The following is a 21,560-nucleotide window of genomic DNA, read 5'->3' as shown; positions in this document are numbered from 1 at the left end:
TATTTTTAAAAATTTCCCCCCACTGACTCTACTGTGCAGCCAGGATGGAGAGCCATGGGCCTTGGGGGTGCAGTCTGGGTCCACCTCCGGCCCAGCAGTCAGGAAGCAATGATGCCTTCAGTCTGGGAAGCCCATCTACCTTGAAGAAGCCAAACCATTAGATGAGGGGAGGAGAAATAGGGTCTACCCCCAAATAAGGGACAAATAAGATCCAGGCTACCTGTCAGGGTTCTTACCAAGCAATGGAGAAAGGACAGAAAGCAGAAAGCCTAGACCTGCACACAAGCTGGCTGTGGCCATCAGCAGCCTCTGGGGGTCCCAGGGAAGACCACCGCACATTCCCGGGCCTCAGGCTCACCAGAACAGGCCCAGGGCAGCAAGAACAAGTACAGCACCCCTGCCCAGCAACGTGTTCTTTTAACGCTGGGTGGTCCTAAGGAACCACCCAGCGTTAAAAGAAAAACTTTAGACAAATTAAATTTAACAGAGTTTAACTGAGCAAAGAACGGTTGAGATATAGGCAGCCCCGGACCCAGAGTAGGTTCAGAGACTCTGGCGCTGCCACGTCATTGGAAAGAGTTTACAGACAGAAAAAGGAAAGTTTCATGCAGCAGATGGAAGTAAGGTATAGAAACAACTGGACTGGTTACAGCTCGGCATTGGCCTTACGTGAACACGGCTTGAACAGTTGGCCACCTGCAATTGGCCAAAACTTTGTGATTGGTACAAGGGTAAGTTACAGCCTGTTTACATGTTCAGTGAGGTTACAGTTCACCGTAAATGGAGAAACCTTTAGGCTGAACTAAAATATGTAAGAAGGCAGCTTTAGACTAAACTTTACACCAGTGTACCCCTGCTTTGGCTTAAGCCCAGGATGTATCTAACACGTCAGCCTAAAATTCCTCAGGGCCTTGGGACTGCTGAATCTGGGGGAAGCAGAGACTAATGACAGCCAGAGAAATTCCTCTCTACTTTTCAAGACCCATCTAGAGTTTGGTGCTTAGAAAGCAAACTCTTCTTTAGTGGACATCTGAAATAGTCAGAGGTGCTATTGACCAGCCTGCCTCCCCATCCTCCTGGCAGCATGGCTTCTCAACTCAACTCATGGGTCTATTGTTTTTGTGCATGGGTGTTTTGTTCCAGTTTTGAAAGTTGGTTCTGTGCTCCAAGGACAGGACAAGATTAACAACTCAAAAAGATCATGGCCCTCTCCTCTCCAGCCCAGAAGGGCCAGCATCTCCTTGGCAATCAGCCAGCCTGGCAGTGTCCTTCCCAGTGATTGGAAAGCACTGGTACCTGCAGTCAAGGCTCCATCAGGAGGGACAGCAAACCCAAGGAGGCTCCAGAGGCTGCACAACAGGGCTGCTAGAAGCTCGTATCCCACAGCCCGCCTCAATGGGTCAGATTTGCAACAAAACCGTGTTGCCCTCACCCACACCAGGCATCAGCCACCAGGCACTTGGAGCTCAGACCTGGGGAGAAATCTGTAATAAAGCAGGGTTGCTTTCTGAATAGAGTGGAGAGTGGGAAGCCAGCCAGGACCCAAGCAAAGAAACTGGGGGCAGAAGGACACAGCAAAGAATTGTCGCTAGGGAATTGTATTCCTCACGAAGCCGACAGTCCAGGCAGGGGGAGGCAGGCCAGGGAGGCCGCACTGCAAGAGTCTGAGGGCCTCCCTTAGTTGCCACTTCCACACAGAGATGAAGATGGCGTTCAAAATGGCGGAGGGCGCCAAGGCTGGGAGCACTGAGCAAGCCACATGCCCAGCCGGATGGGGCAGAACAAACTGACAAAAATGGCCTTGGCCTGTCAGAAACTACTTCCAAGAGTCACCTTGGATGGGAAATGTTCAAAATGACAGCATTAGGCTGGCAAGCCCCACCCTGAGTCTCCAAACTAGGTCCAGTGTGCCTGCTCCAAACTCTCAGAGCCTGCGATTCATTCCCCATGAACACTTACTGCCGTCGGTCATTACACTTTTATTTCGTGACGATTTGCTCAGTGTCTATCTCTAAGCTCTGTGAAGTCAGGTCCTGCCTGGTTTCACAGGTATTGTGTCCCCAGGGCCGAGCACACTATCTGGGCTGAGCAGGTGTGAAACACATATTTGTTGAGGGAATGAATATTCTCTCCACCTCACAGACGTGGATACTAAGATTCCACTGCTAGTGCGCGACAGAGGAATACGCAAACCCAGATTTAATACACTTCTGAACCAGCGGTTCTCAAACTTCCGCTACAACAGAATCACCCAAAGGGCTCGTTAAAAATCACAGAGTTCGGGGCCTCAACTCCAGGGTTTCTGTCGCAGTAGGTCTGGGGAGGGGCCAAAGAATGCAGAATTTGTGCTTCTGTCAAGTTCAGCCAGATGATGCTGATGTTGCAGACAGGTCCAGTCTGGGGACTGTCCAGGCTCCTCGTCTCTGAGCACCTCCCCCCAGCTGGGTGCATTTGGTGGCGAAGAAAAGTCAAGGCGAATTCACCCTTGATTCACAATTGTCTTTTGTTTGTTTGTTTGTTTTTGAGTGTTTACTCAAGGCTTATATTCACGTCGTTAGAATCTGGTGTACCTCCTGGACTGTGAGGACCTCCTTCCTCCTCACCATCCTGATGACAGAGAGAGCAAGCTGCAGCAAAGCTGAGTCTCCCCGGGGGGCTGGCCAAGGCTCCAAATGAACTGGCGGCCCAGAGGCAAAGGGGTCTGGGAGACCCTCTCCAATCCCAGCACAGCTGACTCATGTCCATAAAAAAGAGAAACATGAAATTCTGCCTAGAGAGAAATGGGCAGGCCGCAGTGCCCACCACAGCCCTGGAGATTTCTAGAACGCTCCCAGAGCCACACTTTCAGACACCCCACAGTCCACCTAACGTCCCCCTTTCTCCACTCTCTTCTTCCCTTCAGAGCATTTCAACAAACTCCCAAACAAACCTCCACATAGCTGTAAACTCACATTTCGGTGTGAGAACAAATGATACAGATTTTGCATCATGTACAGCTGGTTCCATACAAACGATAAATATTTCAGCCTGTGAGTTCTATTTCTATTTTGAGTCCCAATCCACAGAAAAGACACTTATACTGACTTCCTTTATCAGGAACAGTGGCCATAAAAAATATAACTCCCTGTCTTCCAAAATGGTTGAACTATGATTCCTCAGAACCTAAAAACAGAAATACCATTTGGCCCAGCAATCCCATTACTGGGTTTATACCCAAAGGAATATAATATATCATAAAGGCACGTGCACTCATGTGTTCATTGCAGCACTATTCACAATCACAAGGACATGGAATCAACCTAAATGTCCATCAATAGTAGACTGGATAAAGAAAATGTGGTACATGTACATCATGGAATACTATGCAGCCATAAAAAAGAACGAGATCATGTCCTTTGCAGGATCATGGATGGAGCTGGAGGCCATTAACCTTAGCAAACGAACGCAGAAACAGAAAACCAAATACCACACATTCTCCCTTATAAGTGGGAGCTAAATGATGAGAACACATGGACACATAGAGGATAACAACACACACTTTGGCCTATTGGAGGGTGGAGGGTGGGAGGAGGGAGAGGATCAGGAAAAATAACTAATGGGTACTACGCTTAATACTTGGGTGATGAAATAATCTGTACAACAAACTCCCATAATACAAGTTTACCTAGGTAACAAACCTGCACATGCACCCTGAACTTAAAAAATAAAATATAAACATATGTAACTCCCTAGTTAATGGCTCATTTCAGGGTTAAGATCCCATGTCAGAGGTGTTACATGTAAAAGCAGTTCCATGGGGGCGGGAGGGGGAGAGAAATCTGAAAGATTTTAAACAAAAACTATCAGGTAGAGCAGGATTGGAGAGTTGGAGGAGATGCCCGGAGTAAGTTTTTTTGTGTTTTTGTTTTGTTTTGTTTTGTTTTTTGGGGGGGACAGAGTCTCGCTCTGTCTCCCAGGCTGGAGTGCAGTAGTGCGATCTCAGCTCACTGCAACTTCCACCTCTAAGGTTCAAGCGATTCTCCTGCCTCAGCCTCCCAAGTAGCTGGAACTATAGGCTCCCGCCACCGCGCCTGGCTAATTTTTTGTAGTTTTAGTAGAGATGGGGTTTCACAGTGTTAGCCAGGATGGTCTCGATCTCCTGACCTTGTGATCCGCCACCTCGGCCTCCCAAAGTGCTGGGATTACAGGCGTGAGCCACAGTAAGTGTTTTTTCAGCTCATTACTAGCCAACGCTAAGGCGACCTACAACACTCATTCACGTGCATTTCACACACTGGAATTTTGGAAAGAATTATGCTGTGACTGAGGTTTACCCCAGCACAATTAGGGAAGTAAGGATTTGTGTCTATTGTTCTAACTGTTAATTAACTGTGTCAACAAGATTGTAGAGAAAAAGTTTTAAAGCCTCTTAAGAAGACAAAGAGTTTTTAAGCATCCCTGAGTACTTTAGGAATACCCAAGGATTTAAATTGACAATGATAAACCATCACTAATTACAGTCATTCTTAACTGATTCTCACCAAGGATCTCTTTATTAGATAACACTTGTTAACCTGGTTTCAACTACAGCATGTACTTAAGGAAGATTAAATTCAATTTAATTCAGATCTGCGCTTCCCGAGTTTCCTAGAATATGTCAAGTAATGAGACTGATTACCCTGAAATATGCTATTCTTCAAATTGGCCCTTTCCCATTGACTCAAAATGGTCAGATTTGAGTCTGCGTCCAAAACTTGTAAACACAAAAATACAACTTTATAATACATTGTATTACAATTGCTAGGATGTCCCAAAGCAAGGACCACAGTCACATCTTTGTATCCCCAGCACCTAGCACAAGGCTCATCCCAGGTTTGCAGAAAGAATTTGCAAAGACTCACAGAAACCACACAACCTCAACAATGGATCGTTCCAGAGGAAGAAAGGCGAGGAAGTCACGTGTCAGTTTTTGAAAACAGGACTCGCTTTCTTTCACTGCATGTTTCTGATGAGCAGACACTGACTTAGGGTTTTTAGTTGCTTTATCTTACTCAAGTCTCAGGACAATGAGGAACATTCTCCCGCGCAACTATTTCGCAAATACAGGGAAAGGCAACAAGGCTGTTACGTGGGGAGGATCTGTCCAGATCCACGTCAGTTCCCCCAACCAATGGGCTCCAAGCTTTCGTGCAGGTCCAGCCCACACTGAGCCTGGGTCCACATATCCTGGGGCCTGGGACCTTGTCAGTGGTTTTGACCATTTCAGAAATTAAAAGACAGGAGAAGGCTTACAGTGACCAACGGTGAGGAAGAAGGGAGGGGCAGGTCAGGGAACGAGAGTAAAGAGGAAGACGGAGGAGAGCTTTGTGTGAAACGCACCAAGGATTGCCTCATTTTGTCTCCTTTGTGTCGTCAAAGCAGTTTGGCCAGGCAGAATGACTGCCCTGAACAAACGCACGAGTCCTGTTCACCTGTCATTGTGATCTTTCAGTGAATTAGCTGAGTAGTAATAAGTACAATGGGTGTTTAACCCATTGTAGTTAGTAACATTATTGTTGTTTAAAGTATTGTTCTTCACTTAGAATCAAGTAGATTTTGAAATGAGAACAGGAAAATGTAATCAGAGTTTGCAAGGATTGTTTCAATAAAATGAAATTGGTAAAAGAACTACAGCTTAAGAAAGCAGGTCACGATTTTTAGAAGACATAAAAATCTCAGAGGAGAAAATTCTAACTTTTTTTTTTTTTTTTTTTTTTTTTTTTTTTTGAGACAGGGTCTCACTGTGTTGTGCAGGCTGTAGGGCAGTAATTCAAGCTCAGCTCGCTTCAGACTCAAACGCCTGGGCTCAAGCGATCCTCCCACCTCAGCCTTCTGAGTAACTAGGACTCCCGGGGCTCGCCACCACACCTGGCTAATTTTTAAAATTCTTTGTTGAGACGGGGTCTCATTATGTTGCCCAGGCTGAAACTGAATTCCTGGCCTCAAACGATCCTCCCATCTCACCCTCCCAAAGTGCAGAGATTACATACGTAAGCCACCATGCCCCACCCAAAAAAATTCTTAAAACCAGATTCCAGAGTCAACATTCCCAGAGGTTAGACTAGTGTGAGGTCTAGACTTTGCATAGCTCACCCCCAGTGCCCAAGCAGTTTATTCATTCATTAAACACCTACTACATGCCAAGAGGTATTCTAGATGCTGGGGATATGACAGGGCACAAAGCACTTAAAATCCCTGCATCAGAAAGCTTCCATTCTAGATTAAGAAGACAGGCTGTAACTAGATAAACATATAAATAATGTGCCAGACAATGATAAGGATTATGATAAGGAATAAAGCAGAGTTAGAATGAGGTATGATCCCTCTTTGAATTGGGTGTTCTGGGAAGCTTCTTTAACAAGGTAACAAAACAGAGTCCTACACAGATTTCTAGGGGGAAAGCATTCCAGATAGAAGGAACACCAAACGCGAAGACACTTGAAATTCTAGTGCAACTGACTTCAATTGATTAAAGAGCATTTGCTGTGTGCCGGATGCTTTACAGCACTGATTTTATTTCAATGATACAGCAACTCTGCACCACTAATTATTATTACTTCCATTTTATGCACTGCTACATCGAAGATTTAGCCACAAGCCTAGCAAAGGGTGGACCTGTAGTTGATGGATGAACCTGGAGGTTGATAGCATTTCCGCAAGCCCAATGCTTTAAGGATTCTACTGTGGGGATCGAGTCCCTCCTGAAAGGCAGTAAATCTGCAGAGAGGTAAGTAAACACTGATTTAACTCTCTGATAGCACGTTAATGCAGCTGTCTAAAATGATATTTAGGAAGATTTTTCCTTATTTGAGTATGTGCAATGCAGTATTAAAAGAGTGTAAGAATTGTATATGTAGAATAAATTTAACTATGTAACAAAAAACCGCACAAGAATATATAATGCAAGGGAAATAAGTAAAAATATAAGCTGTGTGGTTGCGTCCTAAGTGCTCCATTTCTTTAATTCTTCACTTGTCAGTACTTCCAAAATAAGTCTCTTTTTTTAAAATTTATTTATTTTTTTGAGACAGAGTCTTGTTCTGTTGCCCAGGCTGGAGTGCAGTGGCACGATCTCAGCTCACTGCAAGCTCCACCTCCCGGGTTCACACCATTCTCCTGCCTCAGCCTCCTGAGTAGCTGGGACTACAGGCGCCCGCCACCATGCCCAGTTAATTTTTTGTGTTTTTAATAGAGACGGGGTTTCACCGTGTTAGCCAGGATGGTCTTGATTTCCTGACCTCGTGATCTGCCCGCCTCGGCCTCCCAAAGTGCTGGGATTGCGGGTGTGAGCCACCGTGCCCGGCCCAAAATATATCTCTTATGATAAGCAGGTAGGTATTAATATTTCTTTATCAGGAAAAATCATGAGAAATATTGCAAAAAGTGCATAGCCTTCTCCTTTGTCAGACCATATCTGGAGCTGTGACCACAACCCCACTGCAGGTATGTGTGGCCACCCCATTCGTAGTAAGTCTTCCATGTTACACTCCCTTCCCACACATTTTCCTTAAGAGAAGCCCTGAGCAAGGCTCAGTCAATGGTCCCCAGAGACAGGATCTGGCTGCTGCTCACCTGGCTGCCAAGGGAGGGAAGGAGCATGTGATATCTCCATCCATCACGTGGCTGGCCCATGGAGACACATTTTACAGGAGATATGCGAGCTCCACTTGCAAATCCTTCGGTTTCACTACTATAAATTCTCCTGGCTCTGATTAATAAAATATAATAGTAATTCCTAGAATATTGGCCTATTATCCAAAGTCAATGACAGAGCAATCAAAATCAGAATGAGTTATGGGGCCCAAGGATATGGTTGAAGATGAGGATGGGTAATTTCTGGCTTCCAAAGAAACACTAGAAGCATTAGGCCCAGGTAACAAATCAAAGGAATAATATTCAAGCTAGTTGTTTAAATTGCTCGAAGAGTAATAATAGGTTTATAAGGCAAATATTATAATATTTAAAAACCAGATATGAATGAAGTATCAGAGAAGTTAGGTGGACATTTGATGGGTTACAAACTGAGCCACATTGGTTGAATTTTCTATATTGTGTTTACTTCCTTCTCCTCCTGATGTATTTTTATCTTAATTTTGTTTAGTTTGAGTCTGTGGAGTTCTAGGTTGGCAGTTCTAGATATAGTTTCTTCTTTTATCAGGTAAAAATGATGCTACACATTTAACCAGACGTGACTGGGCCATTTTGAGGATAAAAGTTTCACGTCTAGTCAGCCAATGTTAAAACAGTGACAATCAGCCAATGTTAGGCAAACATTACACTCTAACATTAGAAGATTCCACAAAATGACTCAAAATATGAAAAGCACGGTCAAGGGTCCAACACCTAAGATTATCCAATCTCAAACTGCAGCTTCAGTGGGAGAAAGGAGCCGTCTCACAGAAATGCCCACTGCAGTCGAAATCCACATTGTTACCGTCATCTTTCAGAGCGGTGGGAACAGAACAGCACCCACACTGTAGAAACCACAGGGTGTTTTTGAGCCTAGACTACTGGGCGAAAAAAAAAAAAAAAAAAAAAACTGAAATTTCCCTGGTATTCTGAGCCTGAGAGCAGGCCCAGGTATCTCTTCGCCCTACCCCATCAGTGTTCCCGCCCCCCCACACCCCCCACCACCCCCCAAAATTCAGTAAGATTAGAATGAAAACTAGGAAATTCTAAATGCCTGAAAAACCAGCTGTGCTTCAAGGTACACTGGGTTGGTTATGAAAATTACCTGGTAGTACATTCTCACTGGCGGCCAGTTGCAGGTGTACCAAGAAAGCAGGGGATAATATCAAATATTCTTCTTTGTTTCTTTTTCTTTTGTCCTTTTATTTGATTCTAGCAGAGACAGCCCCTCTTAGGCACCTGCAAGCCCCACCTTCCCTGTATCCTCTGCTCTCTCCTTTCCTATCCCCCTGCCCTCACCAAGTCTCAGCATCATCTCGCTGGTTGCGGAGGGGCCGGGGCTGAGAAGACCATCACTCCTGCTGCCCTTCTAGGAGGGCCCCTCAGCCCTTAGCATTGTCCCCCTCTTTCCTGTTTCCAACAGGAAGCTTCTGTGAAACCAAATGATGTTTTTCCTAGGAAACTACATCTCCAAACACAATTTCAGCACATTATGATAGCATGAGATTTTCTTCCTGCTTGGGGAAAGAGGTCAAGGAGATGGAGCTCCCGCTGAGGACTGTGCCCCTGGATGATTGTGCTGGGAGAGGGAGTGGTCCCGACAGATTTCAGTGTCCCGTGCAGCCAGAGGTATTGTCTGTGGTTTTCCAGGACGAGTAAGCCTAGGTAAAATTTCTGACAGGACCAGTCAGTCATCAGGGGAAAAGCTAGAAGCAAAGAATCTCTCAAAATGAGCTCTTAGGGCAAAAGAAGGACTCCAGCCTCCTGCAGTGGGGGCGGTCAGCCCCACAGTGAGCAGGGGCCGTGCTAACCCTGCCATCTATACCAAGAAGGGCATTGCTTCTCCCTCTTGTCTTCTCTCTAAACAGAGGAGACTCAACTCCTATCAAAGCAATGCCCCACAAGCCTGTATTTTCTCAAAGACATCAGCTTTAGAAGCTTTGAGAAGTTCATGCTGATCTTGCAGTCTTACTCTGCATGTTTTCATATAAAAATAAAACTTAAAAATACTTACCAATTAAACTCTCCAGCAGGTTTGCAGAGCTGGGTAAGATGGAGCAAATACAGTCCCTTCTATCTCTCCCAGTGATCACAGCCAAAAACCCTGGGCAGAATACATGCAGCAATCATCAGAGGTGTCTAGAAAGAAAACCACGGCAAGCAGATGGAGAGAGAGATAACATTCAGAGAAACATGGAGGTGGCAATGAGTTCACCAGCTTTTCTTTCCTCCCACATCTCCCAGCTTAGACTCAGGACACCCAAATCCCAGAACTGCTCAGCAGGCATATAGGGAGAAGTGCCCAGGAGAAACCATCCCTCTATGGTCACAAGACCAGGAAAGGGGCCCCTGAGGAATGGAGAGAGAGGAGGAAATCCACTGTTTTTTTCTTTCTCTGTCTCCTGCCCCAGGCAAATGTTGTAAGACTGCACTCCCATGACAGCAGCAGCAGCCACGAAGGCACCTGAAACTCTGAAAGAAAATCCTTTTTTCTAACCAGAGGGATGAAAAGGAAGGAGGGAATCCTGGTCCTTTCTCTCTCTCTCTCTCTCTCTCTCTCTCCTTGCTGCTTTACTTAGAACCACATCCAGACACAAGAAATGCATGACAGGCCTGGAAGGCAAACGCCTCAACTTTCTAGCCTGAGAATCAGGAAAAGGGGTCCTAGGGAGCTGAAGGGTGTTGAAGAAGTCATGAAGAGGAAGGAGTTTGAGAAATGGACCACAAACAAATGTGTATGCTGTCCTGGGCCCGTCACTGAACTATGCATGCATGGAGCTAACTTCAAATAACTTAACAATGGCTTTAAGAAATGAACTAAGTTGTAGATCATTGTCCAGGTCTAAAACTGGTCCCTGGAAGGAATACACGATCCATAGGTCAACATAACACAGTAAATGTTTGAAGGCTGACCTAACATAGGCAACAGAAGACAGCTCAGGACTCAAAGCCTGAGCCTAACCAAGCAGATGCCTGCCAAAAGAAAAAATATCAACATTCTCCAGAGGATTTCAATGAGGGCCAGAGTCTCATAATGTAATATTTTAAATGGCCAGGGCACAATCCAAAATTACACAATATACAAATCAGGAAAAGATAACCACAGATGCCAACATTCAGATAACCCAATGTTGGAAATATCAGACAGTCATTTTTAAACAGCCATTATAACTATGCTGTATGAAATAAACGAAAATTCTCTTGAAATACCTGGAAAAATAGAAATTCTGAGAAGAAAAATACAAAGGACCAAAAAAAAGTTAGAACTATAAAATAGAAATAGAAAACTTACTGTTTGTGTTATACAGAAGAAAGGATATGAGAGAAGAGTTAGTGAACTTAAAGGTGTATCAATAAAAGTTATCCAATTGAAGAAAAACAACAATAGAAAGGTTTTTTTTTTAAAAAAGAACAGCTTCAGGGACCAATAGGACAACATCAGAAGGTTTAATATATGTATCATTAGAGTCCCAGAGGATGGGAGAAATAAATTGGTGCAGAAGGAAAATATTTTAAGAAATCGGCTGGGCGTGGTGGCTCACACTTGTAATCCCAGCACTTTGGGAGGCCAAGGCAGGCAGATCACCTGAGGTCAGGAGTTTAAGACCAGCCTGGCCAACATGGTGAAACCCTGTCTCTACTAAAAATACAAAAACAAATTAGCCGGGCATGGTGGCAGGCACCTGTAATCCCAGCTACTCAGGAGGCTGAGGTGGGAAAATCACTTGAACCTGGGAGGCAGAGGTTGTGGTGAGCTGAGATTGTGCCACTGCACTCCAGTCTGGGTGACAAGAGCAAAACTGTGTCAAAAAAAAAAAAAAAAAAAAAAAAAAAAAAAAGAAGAAGGAAGGAAGGGAGGGAGAAATCATAGCCAAAAACTTCCCAAATGTGGCAGAAGGCATAAATTTACTGATTTCAGAATCTCAATCAACACCAAACCAGAAAAAAATCAAACCAAGATTTACCAAGATACATCATCATTAGTCTGCTGTAAAGCAAAGACAAAGGAAGCAGCAAGTTACATATATAGGAAACACAATATAACATTGAGGATTATTGTCCCAAAACCATGGGAGCCAGAAGGAAGTGGAACAACATTTATAGCATACTGAAAAAGAAGAACTGTCAACTCGTAATTTTATATTAAGTGAAGATATCCTTGAGAAATAAATGCAAAATAAAGATATTCTTCGATGAAGGAAAAGTAATTTATCAGCACCCTTGCCCCCAAAAAAGTTGTTTTTAAAAAACTTGTACATTTTTAAGGTATACAATATAATATTTTAATATATTTATCTTGACTTATCTTGCTATACATATACAATGTGAAGGGATTACTATAGTCAAATTAACACGCCCATCATTTCATACAGTTACCTTTCTTTTTTGAAAGAGAAATTATTCATACAGAAAGAAATGATACCAGAGGGAAAATGTGGAATTTCTGGAAGGAAGGAAGATAAGAAAAAAGGGAAATATCTGGGTAACATATTGAACTATTTTTCTTCTCTTCAATTCTTTAAAATATTTAAGACTATTTAATGCAAAACTTACAATATTCCTAATGGGTTTTCAATGTACACAGATGTAATACAGATAATAACAAAACTTAAAATAAGGAGTATAAAGGGACCTAAATAGTTGAGTATTCTACATTTTACTTGAAGTGATAAAATATTAATTCTTATTAGTAGCTGAAAATTAAATATGTATATTATAATCCCTAGAGCAACAACCAAAAAAACTACCCAGAAAGACACTAAAAATGTTAATGAATTAAAAGTCTCAAAAATATTTAAGTAATCCAAAAGAAGGCAGGAAGGGGGAAAGAGAAAAATGAAAAACAGAGAAGATATGCAGAAAACAAATAAGAAAAGGGTAGCCTAAATTCAACTGTATCAATAATTAATGTAAGTGGTTTAAACACATCAATTCAAAGTCAGAAACGGTCAGATTGAATGTAGGGGAGGGGAGATCCAATTTTATGTCATCTATAAGAAACCAACTTTAAAAATAATGGTATCAGCCAGGTGCAGTGACTCACGCCTGTAATTCCATCACTTTGGGAGGCCAAGGTTGGAGGATCACTTGAGCTCAGGAATTCAAGACCAGCCCAGGCAACATAGTGAGATCTTCATCTCTACAAAAAATAGAAAAATATTAGTCAGGCATTGTGCACATGTCTGTAGTCTCAGCTACTTGGAAGGCTGAGGCAGGAGGATTGTTTGAGCCTGGGAGGTCGAGGCTGCAGTGAGTGAGCTGTGAACACACCACTGCACTCCAGCTTGGGCAACAGAGCTAGATCCTGTCTCAAATAAATAAATAAATAATAAAAATAATGGTATAGCTAAATTTAAAATAAACAGATGAAAATACATATAATGCAAGTACTAATTAAAAGAAATCTGGGCCGGCGCAGTGGCTCACGCCTGTAATCCCAGCACTTTGGGAGGCTGAGGCGGGCGGATCACCTGAGGTCTGGAGTTCAAGACCAGCCTGACCAACATGGAGAAACCTGGTCTCTACTAAAAATACAAAATTAGCCGGGCGTGGTGGCGCGTGCCTGTAATCCTACCTACTCTGGAGGCTAAGGCAGGAGAATGGCTTGAACCCGGGAGGCGGAGGTTGCTGTGAGCCGAGATCACAACATTGCACTCCAGCCTGGGCAACGAGAGTAAAACTCCGTCTCAAAAAAGAAATCTGGACTGGGTGTGGTGGCTCATGCCTGTAATCCCAGCACTTTGGGAAGCCGCGGCAGGCGGATCATGAGGTCAGGAGTTCAAGGCCAGCCTGGCCAACATAGTGAAACCCTATCTCTACTAAAAACACACACAAAAAAATTAGCTGGGCATGGCCGGGCACGATGGCTCACGCCTGTAATCCCAGCACTTTGGGAGGCCAAGGTGGGCGAATCCTGAGGTCAGGAGATCAAGACCATCTGGGCTAACATGGTGAAACCCCGTCTCTACTAAAAATACAAAAAATTAGCCAGGCGTGGTGGCGGGCGCCTATAGTCCCAGCTACTCGGGAGGCTGAGGCAGGAGAATCACTTGAACCTGAAAGGCGGAGCTCACTCCGCTGCAGTGAGCTGAGATCGCACCATTGTACTCCAGCCCGGGCAACAGTGTGAGACTTCATCTCAAAAAAAAGAAAAGAAAAAAGGAAATCTGTATGTGGCTATTTTAATATAACACAAAGTAGACTTTATAATGAGGAAAATTACCAGAAATAAGGAGGGACATTATATAATAGTGAAAGATCTAATCCAGTAAGACATAACAATCCCAAATAAATCTGTACCTAACTACATAGCCTCAAAATACATGAAGCCAAACTGATAAAAACCAAAATGGGATATAGACAAATCTACAATTACAGTTGGATATTGTAACATTTTCCTCTCCATAACCAATGAACAAATAGGTAGAAAATTAGAAAGATATAGAAGATATTAATAACACCATCAGTCATACTGACCTAATTAATATTAATCACATGCTGTATCTAAGAAGAGCAGAATACACATTATTGTAAGTGCACATAGGATATTTACCAAGATAGGCCTTATTGTGAGTTATAAATAAATCATTAACAAATTTAAAATAATTAAAATAATACAAAAGTATGTTCTTTAACCATAATGGAATTATAGTAGAAATCAATATCAGAAAGATGTGTTAAAAAAACAAAACAAATACCTGGAAATTTAACATTCAAGTAATCCCTGCTTCAAAGAGAAAAATCTTAAAAGGAATTAGAAAATATTTTGAACTGAATTGAAAATGCAATTACATGTAAAAATTTGAGATGGAGCTAAAGTAGTATATAGGGAAAAAATATAGCATTAAATGTAAATATTAGGAAAAAAGAAAGGTCTCAAATTCAGCTTCCACATTATGAAATTAGAAAAGAAGAGCAAAATAAACCCAAAATAAGCAAAAGAAGGAAATAACAAGAATAAAAATCAGTAATATTGAAAACAAAACAATAGAGAAAACCAGTAAAAACAAAAGCTAGGTTTTTTTTAAGGGTCAATTAAATTAGTAAACTTTGTATCAGTTTGCTAGGGCCACATAACAAAGCACCAGAGACTGTGTAGCTTAAACAACAGAAACTTATTTTCTCACTATTCTGGAGTCTAGAAGTCTGGGATCAAGGTGAGAGCAAGGTTGCTTTCTTTTGCGGCCTCTCCCCTTGGTTTGCAGATGGTCATCTTCTCCCCTTGTCTGTACATGGTCTTTCCTCTAAGTTGTCTGGTTTTAATTTCCTCTTCTTACAATGACCTCATTCATATTCAATTAAGTCCCATCCTAATGAATTTACTTTAGCTTAATTACCTCTTTAAAGACATTATCTCCAAATACAGTCCCATTCTGAGGTACTGAGGGTTAGGAGTTCTACATATAAATTTGGAGGAACACAATTCAGTCCATAATACCATTCTAGTCAGGCTGATGAAGAAAAAAAAAGAGGCAAGACACCAATTAACAATATCAGAAATGAAAGAGAAACTATCACTAGAGACATGAGGAATGTTTAAAAGATAATAAAGAAAATATTTTGAACAACTCTATGCATAAAAATTCAACTTAGATAAAAAGAACCAATTCTTTAAAAATAGAAACTACCAAAACTCACTCAAGAAGAAACAGATAACTTGAGTAGCCCTATGGGTAGTAAATAAATTTGAATTCTTAGTAAAAACAAGCAAACAGGCCGGGCGTGGTGGCTCACACCTATAATCCCAGCACTTTGAGAGGCCGAGGGGGGTGGATCACAAGGTCAGGAGATCAAGACCATCCTGGCTAAAACAGTGAAATCCCATCTCTACTAAAAATACAAAAGATGAACCGGGTGTGGTGGCAGGCACCTGTAGTCCCAGCTACTCAGAAGGCTGAGGCAGGAGAATGGCAGGAACCCAGAGGCGGAACTTGCAGTGAGCCGAGATTGCGCCACTGCACTCCAGCCTGAGCGACAGAGCAATACTTCGTCTCAAAAAAAAAAAAAAAAAGCAAACAAACAAAACTCCAAGTCCAGATAGTTTCACTAGCAGTCACCAGTTTTATACAATCTCTACTGAAAAGAGAAGAAGGAGGGAAACTCCCCAACTTATCTGTGAACCCAGAATTACCCTGAGACCAAAACCAGATAATGATAGCACAAGAAAAGTATAAACTAATATCCCTCATGAACATAGAAGCAGAAGTCCTCATCAAAACAGTAGCAAGTCAAATCCAGCAATAGATTTTTAAAAATAATGCATCATAACCAAATAAGGTTTATCCCAAAAATGCAAAGCTGGCTCAACATTCAGAAATTCAAAACCTATCATAATAGCAAATTAAAAGAGAAAAAACATATAATCCTTATCAGTATATGCACAAAAAGCATTTGACAAAATTCAACATCCATTCATAATAAAATTCTCAGAAACAAGAAATGTGAGGGAAATTCCTTAATCTGATAAAGGGCATCTCCAAAAAAAAATCACAGCTAACATTACGTCTAACAGTGAAAGACTGAATGCTTTCCCCCTGAAATCAGGAAGAAGAAAAGGAAGTCCACTTTGACTAGTTTTATTCAACATTGCATTGAATCTTAATCAGTGCAATATGGCAAGAAAAGAAAGCACTTACTTCTTGGAAAGGAGGAAATAAAACTGTTCCTATACAGAGATAACAAGATTGTCAATGTAGAAAATCTCAAGGAATCTACAAAAATAGTCATAGAACCACTGAGTTTACACAGTGGGTTTCAAGATACAAAGCTAATATACAAAAATCAATTGTATTTCTATATACTAGTAATAAAATTTTGGAAACTAAAAATTTTTAAATCATTTACAACCGCTGGAAAAAAGGAAACAGGTAAAAATCTAGAAACTACATGCAAGATCTGGATGTTAAAAATTCTAATAAAGGATGTAAAAAGTGACTAAATAGAGAGTAATAGCATACTCATGGACCAAAAGACTTTAATATAGTGAAATTACCTATAGTTTCTAAATGAAACTATAGATTTAATGCAACCACAATGAAACTCTCAGAAACATTTTTTAAAATAAATATAGACAAATGATTCTAAAATACATATGGAAAGGCAAAGGGGCTAGAATAGCCAAAACAAAGTTGAAGAATTCACACTACTCAATTTAAAATCTTAGTAGGAGTCTACCATAATCGAAATGTATATTGGAAAAATTAGTATAACAGAAATCAATGGAACAAATTAGAGAATCTATATATAAAAGCACATAAATACGGTCAAGTGATTTTTTTTGTAGAAGTGAAAGGTATAAGTAGAGAAAGGATAATGTTTCCAACAAATGGTTCTAAAAAAATTAAACATACATATGCAAAAAAGAACCTATGCCTCAAACCATATATAAAAATTAACCCAAAATGGATCGTAGGCTTAATGTACATGTAAAAATACAAAACTTTTAGCAGGAAACATAGGAGAAAGTTTTTGTGACTTTGAGTGAGGCCGAGGGTTCTTGCATTTGACACCAAATATTTGATTAATAAAAGAAAAAGTTGATGAATTGAACTTCATCAAAGAAACACAAGAGATTGAAAAGACAAGCTACATACTGGGAGAAAATATTTGAAAAGCATGTATCTGAGAAAGCACCTGTATGCAGAACATATGAAGTACTCTCAAAATTCTACAGTAAGAAAACAAACAACCAAATATAAAAATGGGCAAAAAACTTGGGTATTCTTCTTTAAAGATTTGTGAATGAAAAGATGCTCAACATCATTAGTCATTAGGGGAATGAAAATTGTAGCCACAATGGGACACCACATCACAGCTACTGAATGGCTAAAATTCTAAAAACAAAACTGACAGTATCGATTGCTGGTGAGCATTTGGAGCAGGTGAATGCATATATTGCTGATGGGAATGCAAGATGTACAGCTACACCGGAAAACAACTTCTCATGCTGTTAAATACACATTATATTACTCAGCAATCCCACCCGTAGACATTTACTCTAAAGGAATGAAAACTGGCCAGGCGCGGTGGCTCACGCCTGTAATCCCAGCACTTTAGGAAGCCGAGGTGGGCGAATCACGAGGTCAGGAGATCAAGACCATCCTGGTTAACACGGTGAAACCCCGTCTCTACTAAAAATACAAAAAATTAGCTGGGCGTGGTGGCGGGCGCCTGTAGTCCCAGCTACTCAGGAGGCTGAGGCGAGAGAATGGTGTGAACCCAGGAGGCAGAGCTTGCAGTGAGCGGAGATTGCGCCCTGCACTCCAGCCTGGGCGACACAGCGAGACTCCATCTCAAAAAAACAACAACAAAAAAAAAACTTATGTTCACACAAAAACACAAATATTTATAACAGCACTATTCATACCATCAAAAAAATCAAAAGCAACCCAAATGTCCTTCAATGTGTAAGTGAATAAACAACCTATGGTACATCCATACAATAAACTGTACACCAATAAAGAGTGAACTTACTATATTTATATTTAAATTCAAAATAAAAGTAATTGCAATACACCTCTTTGAAAAAGTATTTGGTGGTAGGCACTGCAGGTGAACATATGTATACCCTATCGCTCAGCATTTTCACTGGGAGTAGATATAGAGACCTAGCAGAAATGCCTACATATATTCACCAGAAGATGTAACAGCACTGCAGAGTAGCCAAACCCCAGAAACCACCATATGTGCATTAGCTATAGAACAGATAAATAAATTGTGGTACAGTTATACAACAGAATGCTATAAGGCAATGAGAATAAACAGCTTATAGTTACACAACTCACAATCAATGTTAAGCCATAGAACTAGACACGAAAGCGTACATAATATATGAATTCACTCATAAAAGGCAAAACCGGCTGTGCGCAGTGGCTCACACCTGTAATCCCAGCACTTTGGGAGGCTGAGGCAGGTGGATCATGAGGTCAGGAGATGGAGACCATCCTGGCTAACACGGTGAAACCCCGTCTCCACTAAAAATACAAAAAAATTAGCCAGGCGTGGTGGCAGGCGCCTGTAGTCCCAGCTACTTGGGAGGCTGAGGCAGGAGAATTGTGTGGACCTGGGAGGGGTAGCTTGCAGTGAACTGAGATCGTGCCACTGCACTCCAGCCTGGGCAACAGAGCGAGACTCCATCTCAAAAAAAAAAAAAAAAAAAAAAAAAAGGCACAAACATGTGGCCGGGTGTGGTGGCTCACACCGGTAATCCCAGCACTTTGGGAGGCCGAGGCGGGTGGATCATGAGGTCAAGAGATCGAGACCATCCTGGCCAACATGGTGAAACCCCGTCTCTACTAAAAATACAAAAATTAGCTGGGCTTGGTGGCATCCGCCTGTAGTCCCAGCTACTCGGGAGGCTGCGGCAGGAGAATTGCTTGAACCCAGGAGGTGGAGGTTGCAGTGAGCTGAGATCACGCCACTGCACTCTAGCCTGGAGACAGAGCGAGACTCCATCTCAAAAAAAAAAAAAAAAGGCACAGACACAGGCAAAACTAATCAGTGGTGTTAGGAGTTGAGGCAGTGGGTGCCTTTGAGAGAATAGTAACTGTTTCTTGGTCAGAGTGGTCTGTTACAAGGGTGTGTTCCGTTTTTGAAAACTTGGTGATACATGCATTTGTGATTTGTGCACTTTTCTACATTTGAGTTGTAAATTTAATTTTTAAAAAGATTTAAATACAAAGTATTAAGCATTTATTCCAAATATTTGAGTCAAGAGCTCCAGAAAAATACACCAAGAGCTTCAAATAACCCTGGCAGACATGAGTCTGTGTTTTGCAGTTTGAGACACACACTCATAATGAAGAAGGAATTCATGAATTTTACAAGTATAATCAAAAACAACCAAAAATTTTTACTTTTTGCTTCAAAAGCTAAGTGTAGTGTAGCGCCCCCCGTAGTCTAAGTTGGAGAAGAATACTAACTGCCTGTTTTTCCTTCTGTGCTCAGCGAGCCCTATCTGTACTCCCCAGTTTCACATTCCTTGAGGCTCGGTGAGTTCCTGCTTCACCCCTCTAGCACAGCTGCAAAGTTACAAGGTTGATACAGAAACATGGTTTCCCAGGGATGTGGAACATACAGTATAGATAAATGTAAAAGACTCATCAACTGCCTTCGTTCTCGATTCTGTAAGTACACTTCCTGCATCACGTAGCTCCCAGCCACCGACTGCTTAAAAGGTGGCTGCTTTCTTTGTCCGGGGCTCAGACTTTCCTGGATGCTGGTCCTACTGAGCCAGGTGATCACCTTTTAATAAAGACCTTTCCTGAACTCACTCTGTTCGGTCTCTCCCATCTTTGATTGTCCCGCAACAATAATATTACTGTTAACCAATCCTCATAGTCTGCTTGGAAATAAACAGATTTTTTGCAATGCTCTATGGCTTACCCAGAAACCTCCAGATTTTTTTACTTTTTTGAAAAGTAAAAAATTTCTCTCTCTTTTTTGCCAAAGCAAAATAAGGTGTCAGTGATATCTTGGGGTTATAAGGGGTTAGGGTAGAAATGTTGACAGTGCAATGATTGTGAGCTGTGGGATAGCCTTCTCTGCTACCTATTCCAAATTAGCAATAAAAAGAAACAAACTTAATATGTGCAACAAGATAGATAAATCTCAAATGCATTATACCCAATAAAAGAAGTCAGACTCAAAAAGTTACATACTGCATGAATGGACAACAAGTCAACAACCACACTCCCAAGTTCATGCATTACTATTCCAGACCACAAGATTTAAGAAAACTCCATTTTGATCCTTCTCTCTTCTCTTGCTTACTCACATTTTTTCTCTCTCCCTGTGTATCAGTCTGGATCAGCTAGATTATGCTGCAGTAACAAATAATCTCATCTCAGTGGTTCAGAAACAGTTTTATTTCTAACTCATTCTGCAGTCCATGGGGAGTTGGCAGAGCCTCTGCTTATCATAGCTGCTGTGGGGCCCCAGTGGGTTGCCATGCCAAAAGGAAAAAGATTTCTGGGGGTCTTGTGTGTCTCCAAAATAACCCATGTCCCTTTTGCTCACAAGACTTTGGTCAGAATTATTCCAATCACAATGGAGCCAAGAAGCGCAATCCTACCATGCGTTCAAGAGGAGAACTAGGAATATTTGTTGAACTTCGTTTTCTACCATTCCCTCCTCAATTCAAATTTCTAGAAGAATAGAGTGGGTTCCATCTCACTGTGTTGTCCCCTCCTGCTTCAATTATCTAGCCTATGGGCTGGTGGGGAAAGAGGAAACTGTATACTTCATATATATATGGGAACAGGAGATGGATGGATGAGGATGGGAGGACAATTCACAGAGTCACAGGCCAAGCAAATGTACCCCATAAGATATAGAAATAGGACCTCTGGGTGTGGGTGTGGTGGGGGACAGGTCTATATGGATTAAAAAGCACAAAACAAAGAGATGCAGATACAGAATGAAAATATTATTAACCAAAGCAGCTCATGCCCATTACCAAAACTCCAACCACACAGTATTCCTTCAGGGCAATGCTTCAACCATGTAGCCGTGGACATCCTTGCAAAGGAGGAAAAGGTTTTTTCTCTGAGTTAAACCATGATGGGGACTGAGCTCATAAAAGCACATTCAGATTTTTTTGCTGCTCCACTACATAATTTATGTCCTAGTCAGGCACAATTTTCATTTAATCAAGAGCTATCTTGTCTCCAACCTTTCAATTGGGAGTAACTTTGTACAAGATGAAAATAACCTCATCCATCATGATGATAGAAATTGTTCTATATCTTCCAGGCTTTTACTTCTGACAAAATGCCAGGAATCCTGCTTCCTTGGGTGGCTTATGGAAATGCAGCAGACCCAAATTTCATTAGGACTGTAATAGCATGTCCTGTCCATGGATTAATGTGTGCCAGATGTGCAGGTTCAACCACATCTGCAAGCACCAGCCACCT

General features: G+C 41.7%; 1 long non-coding RNA gene across 1 annotated transcript in view; it reads right to left on the bottom strand.

Annotated features, from left to right (window-relative positions):
* Positions 1–21,560, bottom strand: part of LOC105370982 (uncharacterized) — a 171,228-nt gene that overhangs the window by 142,177 nt on the left and 7,491 nt on the right. Inside the window, exons 3-4 of the long non-coding RNA XR_007064770.1 lie at positions 12,692–12,787; positions 9,662–9,786 (exon numbers count right to left, since the gene is read on the bottom strand). This is a non-coding gene — a long non-coding RNA (uncharacterized LOC105370982). The remainder of the gene's footprint in view (positions 1–9,661; positions 9,787–12,691; positions 12,788–21,560) is intronic.

Source organism: Homo sapiens, chromosome 15 (assembly GCF_000001405.40).
Source record: "Homo sapiens chromosome 15, GRCh38.p14 Primary Assembly".
Taxonomy (NCBI): domain Eukaryota; kingdom Metazoa; phylum Chordata; class Mammalia; order Primates; family Hominidae; genus Homo; species Homo sapiens.
Note: the sequence above shows the minus strand (reverse complement) of the source record. Positions and strands in the feature narration are given on the sequence as shown.